Consider the following 11,436-nt stretch of genomic DNA (forward strand, 5'->3'; position numbering starts at 1 on the left):
ATAGTGCTGCAATAAACATACATGTGTCTTTATAGTAGCATGATTTATAATCCTTTGGGTATATGCCCAGTAATGGGATCGCTGGGTCAAATGGTATTTCTAGTTCTAGATCCTTGAGGAGTAGCCACACTGTCTTCCACAATGGTTGAACTAGTTTATACTCCCACTAACAGTGTAAAAGTGTTCCTTTTTCTCCACATCCTCTCCAGCATGTTTGTTGTGAATTTTTTATTTATTTTCAGTTCTATCATTTGTTAATCTCATGTACTTTAAAGCTCTGTTATTACATGCACAATGGATAGCTGCTTGATGAACTGACGCTCATTATTATAAAATGTCTCATTTAGTCTCTAGTTACTCTGTCTGATATTAATATAGTCAGTCTACATGTCTTATGCTTAAGGTTTGCATGATATATTTTTTCATTCTTTACTTTCAACCTGTATTTATATTTAAAAAGCATCTTTTTAAAACAACATAGCATTAAATCTTGCATTTTATCCAGTGTTAATATGTTTGCTTTTTAATTGGAGAGTTTATTCCATTTATATGTAATGTAATTATTTATAACATGATTGTCTCTATTGCAATTTTATTCATACCCTCCATTTTCATTCCTATGTTCCCCATTTTCTGTTTTCCTTTGAAATCCTTTGTTCCTCATTTTCTGTTTTCTTTTGACTTGATTAAATATTTTTCATATTCCATTTTATATCCTTATTTGAATTTTTAGCTACAACAGTTTCAGGAGTATTTCTTCTAAGGATGACAATATACTGCCTTTTCTTATCATGGTCTACCTTCAATTAGTATTATACTACTTAAGTTACAATATAAAAAACCTCCAATTATGCAATCCTCATTCTTTTGCCATGACATAGATGGATCAGCACAAGACACAGGACATATATTTGAGAATTCATATGGTGGAAAACCTCTATGAATATAATCAAATTTGAAAATCTCTCAAAAAGATCTTGATGTCTACTCTGTAGAAAATACTCCAAATTGGATACAAATATAATGAGAGTAATAAACATGAAAAGATCTCAGCCAGATTTCAAATCTAAATGTGCACTAGAGAACTCATGCTGCAGGGAAATTATGTGAATTCAGTGAATGCAAGAAAGTCTTCACTGATCTTTCACTTGTTAAAAACACACATGGCATCACACACTGAACACATACCCTATCAAAGTAAGGAATAGAGGGAATCCTTTATGTGTTCCTTGTATTTTAGGAATCATGAAAAATTTCACACTGGAGAAGAATTCTATGAATAGACATGTAAGCAAGCCTTTGTTCATTCTTCATTTATTGATGTACATGTAAGAACTCACAGTGGGCTGGGCACGGTGGCTCATGCCTGTAATTCCAGCACTTTGGGAGGCCAAGGCGGGTAGATCACCTGAGGTTAGGAGTTCAAGACCAGCCTTACCAATATGGTGAAACCCCATCTCTACTAAAAATACAAAAATTAGCCAGGTGTGGTGACGTGCACCTGTAATCCCAGCTACTCAGGAGGCTGAGACAGGAGAATTGCTTGAACCCAGGAGGTAGAGGTTGTAGTGAGCCAGGATCATGCCACTGCACTCCAGCCTGGGTGACAGAGCGAGACTCCGTCTCACAAAAAAAAAAAAAAAAAAAAATGAACTCACAGTAGACAGTGGAGATAAGCCTTATGAGTATAAGAAATGTGAAAAAGCTTTCAATTTTCTTTAATCTTTTAGAAAACATGTGAAAACTCTCACTGAAGAGAAATCTTATTAACATAAAAATGTAGAAAAACCTTGAGTTGCCCCTAATCCTTTAGGGCATATGTGATAACTCATATTGTAATTTACCCTATGGATATAAAAGAATGTGAGATAGGCTTGATTTCTTCCAGATCTCTTGCTGTACATGTAAGAACTAACGTTGGAGAGAGGATTTATCAATATAGAGAATGAAGAAAAGCCTTCATTTATTCCTCAAAACTTCCTGTTCAAATGAAAATAAACCAAAAAGGAACTTTATGCATGTAAGAAAGATGGGCAAGTATACAGTTTGCCCTCTTCTTTCAATAGAAATGTGAGAACAAACACCGAAGACAGCCTCTATAATTGTAAACAATATGAAAAATCCTTCATTTATTCTTCATATTTTACCACTCATGTGATAATACACATTGGAGAAACACTGTGTGATGGTTAACTTTATGGGTCAATTTGACTGGGTTAAGGATACTCAGGTACCTGGTAAAGCATTAATTTTGGATATATCTGTGAGGGTAGTCCAGAACAGATTGACATTGGAATCCGTAGGTTGAGTAAGGAAGATCAGGCCTCATCCAGCGTGGCTGGGCACCATTTAATCAATCGAGGGCCTAGATAGAACAAAAGGGGATAGGAAAGGTGAATTTGCTCTCCCTTCTGGTCCTGATACACCCACCTTTTCTTGCCCTTGGATATAAGAAGTCCAGGTTCTCTGGTCTTTGGGACTTATACTAGTGGCCCTCCAGGTTCTTGGGCCTTCAGACTTGGACTGAGCTATGCCACCAGCTTCCCTGGTTCTCCAGTTAGCAGATGGCATATTATGGGACTTCTCAGCCTCCATAATCATGTGAGCTGATTCTCATAATAAATTCTCTCTATCTATCCATCTATCTATCTTCTAATGGTTCTGTTTCTCTGGAGAACCCTGACTAGTAAACACACTGAATGTATGAAATGCAGAAATATCTTCAGCTATTCCTCATCCCTTACAAAACAGTGTGAGAACTCACACTGGAGAGAAACTCTATTAGTATAAGGAGTGTAGGAAAATCTTATCTTGGGTCTAATTTTTTCAAATTGAGGTAAAATTCACATTAAAGAGGAACCATGCAAGTGGAAGAAACGTAGGAAAGTGTAATCCCTCACACTTTAGAAAACATGTGAGAACACATACTGAAAAAAAATAAATGCCTAGAATGTGAGAAAACTTTCAAGTCTTTTTCATGCCTTAGTCAGCAAGTGAGAACTCATACTGGGAGATACGACTGTAAAGAATGTGGAAAATCCCTTAGTTTCTTTCCTCGTATTTTCAAAGACATGTGAAAACTCACATTGGAAAGAAACCCAATGAATGTAATTCATGTGGGAAGGTGTTCAGATATATCTCTTCTTATACATAAAATTGACACCAGAAGACAAATCTTTAAAATCTTGTAAATATGAAAATGTTTTATTAGTATCTCATCCTTGAAGTGGAACCCAGCTCATAATTTAGTTTTTATTTTCTAATAAAAACTTTTATGATGATAACTATTGCTCCCAGTACCCTTTCAGCTATCTCACATAACTTTGATATATATTATTTTTATTATCGTTTATTAAGTGTCTAATTTCCATTGTGAAGTCTCCTTGGACCTATAAGGCTGAAATAAAATAATTTAAAATTTATTTTCTTATTGTTTCTAATTCAATTTCATTATAGTTAATGCAAGTGGTCATTGTGCTATTGAGTTTGGTACTTTGGAGGTTTCTTTTTTCTGGCTTACCATAGCAGATCCTAGGATTTCCTTAGCTGATATCTACCCTGCCCTTCTTCCTTACTAAGAAAACTTAGAATTTTTCAACTTCACTGGTGAAAGAGGTATCTTCAGCAGAGTTTTGCAGAGAGTGTACTCTACAACTAATTGTCTTGGTCAATATAGTTGATAGAAACTTAAAAATATGCAGTTATTGAAAAAGGACAGTTTCATCTGACCTCTGACCTGATTATTTAACCTTCTGTATTTTGCTACTGCTTCAAGTTGAACACAGCCCTTCAAGTTGAAAAGAGGGACCTTGCAGCCATGTCGATGAAAGTTACAGGTAATGATGATTGTGCTGGACTGTGTTATATGGCTTAGAAATACATTTTCCAGAATCCTCTTTGTCTATGGTTTATAGGTTAGAGTTGAACAAAAGAGGAAACTGAGTGAGATTTGGAATGAAGAAATAAAATGGAAGCCATAAATCTCAAAAGGATGTGGCAGTAGCAGATTGACAAACAGATCTAGAAGTACCCATCAGTTCCAAACTTTAAGCATGTCTTTTTGATTACTGGCTCTGTTGAACAACATTAGCATTGAGCCAATCACCTAAGCACTTAACTTCAATTCCCTCAGAAGTGGTAGCTTCCAGGCTGGGCACAGTGGCTCACACCTGTAGTCCCAGCACTTTGGGAGGCTGAGGCAGGTGGATCACTTGAAGCCAGGAGTTCGAGACCAGCCTGGCCAACATGGTGAAACCCCATCTCTACTAAAAATACAAAAATCAGCATGCCTGTAATCCCAGCTACTCAGGAGACTGAGGCAGGAGAATTGCTTGAACCTGGGAGATGGAGGTTGCAGTGAGCCGAGATCCTGCTACTGCACTCCAGCCTGGGTGACAGAGTGAGACCCTGTCTCCAAAAAAAAAAAAAAAAACAAAAACAAAAAAACAAGTGATAGCTTCCACAAACATCGCTATGAGCTTGTCATCTTTCATGACCTCACTTTGGTGACCAGACAGGCATAGCTGCCTGAATTTCCTTGCAAGCTTAAACCTGCTTATTCATACCACTGTTGCAGAATTTCAGGATTAAAGGCTTTCTTTAATATTCTGACTCCATTTTCTTGACATTTATCAAAAGTCTAATTTTTATGGTGAGCATGTTGTTCCCATAATACTTCTCAAGGCCCTGTTTCTCCAAGTCATACACTATTTCAGGAAAAATGAACAAATAAGTACCTTATTCCCCTACTGTATTGTTCAGTAGCTACACCATCCTTGCCCTACCTATTTCTGGACTCTCCTAGGAGAAAAATCAGCACCTTGTTGATTTGTGGAGCATATCTTGGGAGTTTTCTGTTATTCAAGACCAAACAAAACCCCTAAATAATAAATGTAGTATGTGTTAAATTAAAACAATCAATGTAAAGTAATTCATCATATTAACAAAAGAGCAAATTTGAATTTAGATACATAATAGATATATAGAAAGTCTTTAAAACAATTCTGAATGGGCCAGGCACAGTGGCTCACACTTGTAATCCCAGCACTTTGAGACACCAAGGTGGGAGGATTGCTCCAGGCTGGGAATTCAAGACCAGCCTGGGCAACATGGCAACAAAATATTTATGCATCGTAAAAGATTTTTCATGTGTGTACCATTAATTGTTAAAGTGACCTTGTTCATTCTGTCACATAAGTTTAATGTTAAGTTTGAGGCAGGAAGAAGAAAAGGTTTTCCATTCTTCAGCATAAGCCTGTCAGGTATTTGTTTAAGAAAAATGAAATGAAGGAAATATTGTGCAATGTTTTTTGTTTTGTGAGCATATCAGTGCTTTACGTAGTCAGCCACAGCTGTGAATGTCTTGCCATTTCAGACTTGGGAGACTAAATGGCTGTTGTCATTGCTGATCCTGTGAGAATGTGAAACTGGATAACATACGAAATGCAAAATAAAACAAAATAAAAATAAAAATATACGAATGCCCCTTCATTAGTATATCCTTATTTGCATGAATGAAGTAAATGTATGGACCAAGCACGGTGACTCATGCCTGTAATCCCATCACTTTGGGAGGCCGAGGCAGGCGGATCACCTGAGGTCAGGAGTTCAAGACCAGCCTGGCCAACATGATGAAACCCCATCTCTACTAAAAATACAAAAATTAGCTGGGCATGATGGCGGGCACCTGTAATCCCAGTTACTCAGGAGGCTGAGGCAGAAGAATTGGTTGAATTCAGGAGGCGGAGGTTGCAGTGAGCTGAGATCGTGCCATTGCATTCCAGCCTGGACGACAGTGCGAGACTCCATCTCAAAATAAATAAATACATACAAATGTATGAAAATCTATGGACTCTCCCAAAGAAAAGACTCTGCAGATGACTTTTCTAGTGTCATCTAATAAATCCACTCTAATATGTTTGACGCTTCTGACCCCTTCAGTACTCTCCAAGGTAGTTCTGGTAACTCCAACTCGTTTATTGTAGTCCATCATTATGCCCAAGCTTCAAGAGGCCAACCCAGCAATGTATTAGTTCTTATCATAGGTGTCATTGCCAGGAGGCAATTCTGAAGTACAAATCTGAAGTCAAGAGAGAGTACCTTTGTACCCTAAACACTCCTCTATCCAGCAGCATATTACACACACACACACACACATTTATGTTCAATATTAATTTCCAAGCATAATCCCCATGTTTCTGCTGGTACATATTAGCCATGCCTTGTAGTTTCTTTAGTGAATATAATTTTTTTAAATTTTCTTTTCTTTTCTTTTTTTTGACGGAGTCTCGCTCTCTCACCAGGCTGGAGTGCAGTGGCACGATCTGAGCTCACTGCAACCTCCACCTCTCGGGTTCAAGCAATTCTCCTGCCTCAGCCTCCTGAGTAGCTGGGACTGCAGGTGCATGCCACCATGCTCAGCTAATTTTTTTGTATTTTTAGTAGAGACAGGGTTTCACCATGTTGGCCAGGATGGTCTCGATCTCCAGACCTTGTGAGCTGCCTGCCTCGGCTTCCCAAAGTGATGGGATTACAGGCATAAGCCACTGTGCCTGGCCTAAATTTTATTTTCTAATGAATAGGATTTATTTTTCTCATGAGCAGGAATTGTACTTTCCAGCTCACGTCATTATTTAACCTTAGTTATAGATATAAAAGCAGTGGGGACAGGTCTTGAATAGGGTAAGTTTCATCTTGTAAGGCATTAATATCAGATGAAGGCATTACATTATCTCCAAGCAATGAAAGGCTTTATTTCCCTAGAAAGGAGGAGGATCCATGGCTAGAAAGAGTTCAAGGGAATCTGAGAATATAAGTATCTCAAGTACATCCAACCAAATGTCCTCATCCCAGGACTCAGAGTATGTGGAATATTTCTTTCCTATCAGGATTCTAACTTTAACAAAGAAAACTTAGATCGTTGTGTTTTCAGTCTGCTTTGTAGCTCTGGCACTAATACATTCAAATACTGAGCCTGATTTTCAGTACATCTAGCCCTCCAGCTGTAGAAAAGAGATGTCTTTTAAAATTTTTCCATGGAAAGCCTTTGGCTTTCACAGTGTTCTCTAAATTGATAGGTGGATAATTTGAGCTAATCATGCTATATATTCAGGGCTTATGGTCAGTAGAAAAAAGAAGCAAACTTCACAATCCTTTCAATTACAATTTTTTCCATTTGTGTCATGTGCAGAAGCTATTGCATAAGCCAGTAGTTATACCTGTTGCTCATTTCAATCCTCCACAGGTGAGAATCTTAGTAAGTGGGATGCTACAGCATGACAGGGATTATCACAACCCCACTTTCTACCAGAATTGGATTGCTGCCATGTGACCAGCAAGTAATTCAAGTTCAGAATCCCATCCTTAGAATTTGCTTTCTAAGTTGCTATCTTTGTTGAGTTCTCCCAAAAGCAGACCTAGAGACAAGGACTTAGGTGCAATTAATTTATTTAAAAAGTTATCTAGAGAAGCACCAGTGAGGAAGTGTGGAAACTGAGAAAAAGAAGGGAGAAACATCAATAAATTAAAAATTATTATTTTAATAAGCAGATTACCATTGTGAATACATGGGCCTCAATCTTGCTAGGGAACTCTATGAGGAACTGTGTGGAACATACTGTAGAATTGTCCCATCAAAGAACCAGAAAGTTAGTGGTAGACTGATCTCACCTTCCATCTTTCATTGAGTGTTAACCCTAAGGGCATTAAATTTCTGGAAATTCCAGATTGCAATGTGAATGGGCAGAGCAAGCTCCTATGGCATCAGAGAAATCCCTCCCAGGAAGAGAAGTAGAAAGACAAAAGTGCTTGACATGATGTATTAGTCAATTTTCACACTGTTGATAAAGACATACCTGAAACTAGGGAGCAAAAGAGGTTTAATTGGACTTACAGTTCCACATGGCTAGGGAGGCCTCAGAATCATGGCAGTAGGTGAAATGCACTTCCTACATGGCAGCGGCAAGAGAAAATGAGAGAGATGCAAAAGTGGAAATCCCTGATAAAACCATCAGATCTCATGAGACTTATTCACTACGACCAGAACAGTAGGAGGGAAACTGCCCTCATGATTCAATTATCTCCCACCAGGTCCCTCCCACAACACGTGGGAATTATGGGAGTACAATTCAAGATGAGATTTGAGTGGGGACACAGCCAAACCATATCACAAGAGAAGCTGCTGTAAGCTTGCTAAAAAGTTTTCATTGAACTGCAGGTAAACTCTGAGGTGGGCCAAGGGAATATAGGACAGGCATCAATAGCATCTGCTATACTGCTGCATTTGGTTGTACAAGCAAAGGGTTGAGAAGTAGCTGTGGAAGGAAGGTTCAGCATTCCAGTGTCACCAGGAGCAACAGCCAGATTGAGTGTTCCTGTATCTAGGAGCAACTGTGTGGGTATTGAGAGGTGGTAGCAACAGTAGAAGTGGCCTACTAACCCTGGGTCACAGGTGTAGCAAGTTGTTCTTGGAACTCAATAGTTCCTGAGTTCCACTTATCCACACATTCCAATGATGCTATAAAAATCTAATTATCTCTGTTAAATATTTTTCTGCTTAAACTGATTAGAGTTGTTTTTGTTATGTGCCCTGAGCCCCAAAAATATATTTTGTACCAGAATTTGCAGGCAACAAACACCGAAGAATGAAATTTAGGATAGATTATATGACCTAGATAGATCAAAGGCAATGATAGTCCCATATCCTCTAGAAAATAAGATATTGGTAGTCCCTGGTAAGCAACAGCAAAACATTTACTCAGGTTATCACTTGTGTTTGTCTGGAATTAATTGCTTATTGAAGGTAATTCTCTGGTAAGCAAAGTGGCTGGTGTACCAAAGCATTATGGTGGGGAAGAGAAAGGTTCAGGGGATGTGGTGATTACTTTTGACTGCAATCGAGAATTCAATTAAAGAAAATAACGAACTTAGGGTTTTAAAATTCTTGGGTCAGGAAAGATATGAAAATCAAATATTTTAATGATTGCTTTAAAAACATCTCTTTTATCCCACGGCTACAGGACTACATAGATAAAAATCAGACAAAAAGTCTGATTCTTCAGGTTGATAAATAATTACAAAGTTGAATTCACAACCACTGCATGTTTTTTAATGAAATTGCTAGAGCATTGATCCAGAAAGAGTAGTATCCTTAGAATGGGAATGGGGACAGCTAGGTGAATTCAGATGTGATTGTATCTTGAATCCCCAAACCAATTGAGCCCTTTTTTATCCCAGCAGAAGCAAACTCATTTTCCTTTTTAATAAGACTGTCCTCTTTGCATGCATAGTCTGTAATGACCTCAGCTGAGACAGTTACATTGCAAAGGGTTGCTAATTTTCTCCATGCCCTTCATTTGCCAACTCTCATTGCCTCTAGACCTCTAATTAGATTCATATCCTAGCATGTTCAATGGGGACAAGCACAAAGCCAGTCCCAATATTAGAAGGCATATATACTGAAAGAATTGCATAATTTTGCTAACTACATCACAGAAACCTTAGGAATATGTTTGAGAACTGAGTATGCTATAACAGAAAACAAAGAAAAAACCTTTAGATTGAGTTGAATTTAGGTGGGTTCGTTTGCCAGAGATTCTGAATTCAGTGTTCAAGCTTTCACATGATTATCTCTAATAGTTCTTTTGGTCAGCTGACTCAATTCAATGACAGCCACAATTTAACAAAGGAAATTAAGATGCTAATAATGCCTTAGGATAATGTTATCCAGCAAAAGGGACTCACTACCTGATATGCTAGAAGCCAATAATATGACACTGCATTTTTGAGAAAAGAAAAGCTTTATATTGAAAGTCTTTGTTATAGCAACAAACACACAAAGGAAAGAAAATGGATTCCCAAGGAGACAGGAGTAAACGTCAAGTGTCTTCCCATGCTGGCTTTCAGGCAGTAATTTTGTTAGAAATGCTTTACGGGGCTGGGCGTGGTGGCTCACGCCTGTAATCCCAACACTTTGGGAGGCCGAGGCGGGTGGATTACCTAAGGTTAGGAGTTTGAGACCAGCCTGGCCAACATGGTGAAACCCTGCCTCTACTAAAAATACAAAAATTAGCCAGGCGTGGTGGCGTGCGCCTGTAATCCCAGCTACTCAGGAGGCTGAGGCAGGAGAATCACTTGAACCCGGGAGGTGGAGGTTGCAATGGGCGGAGATCACACCACGGCACTCCAGCCTGGGCGATTGAGTAAGACTCCGTCTCAAAAAAAAAAAAAAAAAAAGAAACAAAGGAAGAAAAGAAAAAGAAAAGATTTAGGGGGCAGATTCTGAGAGCGGTGATTAGCGGAAGGAAAGGGGAGGCATGGGAAGTCCTTGGGCATGTGCACTTACCTCTTCATGCCTCCGCAAGGGTCTTTGTGCGAATTCGGGGGAGTTAGTATGAAACCTGTGGTGGAAACTCAGGCTGCGATCTCAGCAAGCTCATTCTGTGCAAACTCCATTTATCTATCTAGGTTACAACCGATTTCAGCCAGTTCATTTCTTTTAAGCAGAGGGAGTCTCAGTGTTTCAGCAAGTTGTTTCTTATCTGCCATTATGAAAACTCAAGAATTTCTGTTAGTTACTGGTTTCTTTAACTCTTTGGGGCACAGTTTCAATAGTGTAGAGGAAAAAAAAACAAAAACAAAAAAAAAAAACAAAGACTCAGGAAAATAAATCTCTATTTTTTTTTCTTTTTTCTTTTTTTTTTTTGAGACGGAGTCTGGCTCTTTCGTTTCGCCCAGGCCGGACTGCAATGGCGCTATCTCGGCTCACTGCAAGCTCCGCCTCCCGGGTTCACGCCATTCTCCTGCCTCAGCCTCCCGAGTAGCTGGGAAAATAAATCTCTATTTTTATTCTTGCCCTAGGTATCACAAATGTTAGGGGTGCTCCTGCTCCTCTGAGAGTCATACAAGGTTCTAATTATCTCACCATCCCATAGGACATCACATTTTTCCAGCACGCTAATGGGATCATGCTGATTGTACCTCTTCAATAGCAAGTAACATGTGCCCTAGATGCCTTCGTAAGACGTATGTATGGCAGAAGAGGAGATAAGTAAGCCCCACAACAATTTAAGGAACTGTCCTCTCTGAAGTTTTGGGGGATTCAGAAATCTAGGGCATGTTAAGATATTTCCAAGAAAGTGAAAAACAAGTTGCTGCTGCCCTTCCTACACTCCCTACCATGAAGAAAAAGGCAAACTTGGTGAGCCTCTTGATTTTGGAGGCAACATGTTATCTTTTGGCATCCTTCTCTGATCTTTTTGCTGAGTCACTGTTAAGGCTGCCAGCTTTAAACTGAACTCCAAATCAAAGAAGGCTCTACAGGTACTCCAGAATGCATTAAGAACAGGAACACCACTTGGGAGTTATGACTCAGCAGATAAAATTATGTTTAACGCTGGGCGCAGTGGCTCATGCCTGTAATCCCAGCACTTTCGGAGG

At 38.9% G+C, this 11,436-nt stretch overlaps 1 long non-coding RNA gene and 1 pseudogene across 1 annotated transcript; one reads left to right on the forward strand and one right to left on the reverse strand.

Moving 5' to 3' along the window:
* LOC100419552 (zinc finger protein 57 pseudogene) lies at positions 1,109 to 2,175 on the forward strand (annotated as a pseudogene).
* Positions 2,098 to 10,632, reverse strand: LOC105378199 (uncharacterized). Its single transcript, XR_001742473.1, has 2 exons — positions 10,343 to 10,632; positions 2,098 to 2,365 (listed from the first exon to the last, which is right to left on the reverse strand). It is a non-coding gene; the product is annotated as an uncharacterized LOC105378199 (long non-coding RNA).

This window comes from Homo sapiens, chromosome 5 (genome assembly GCF_000001405.40).
Source record: "Homo sapiens chromosome 5, GRCh38.p14 Primary Assembly".
NCBI classification, from domain to species: domain Eukaryota; kingdom Metazoa; phylum Chordata; class Mammalia; order Primates; family Hominidae; genus Homo; species Homo sapiens.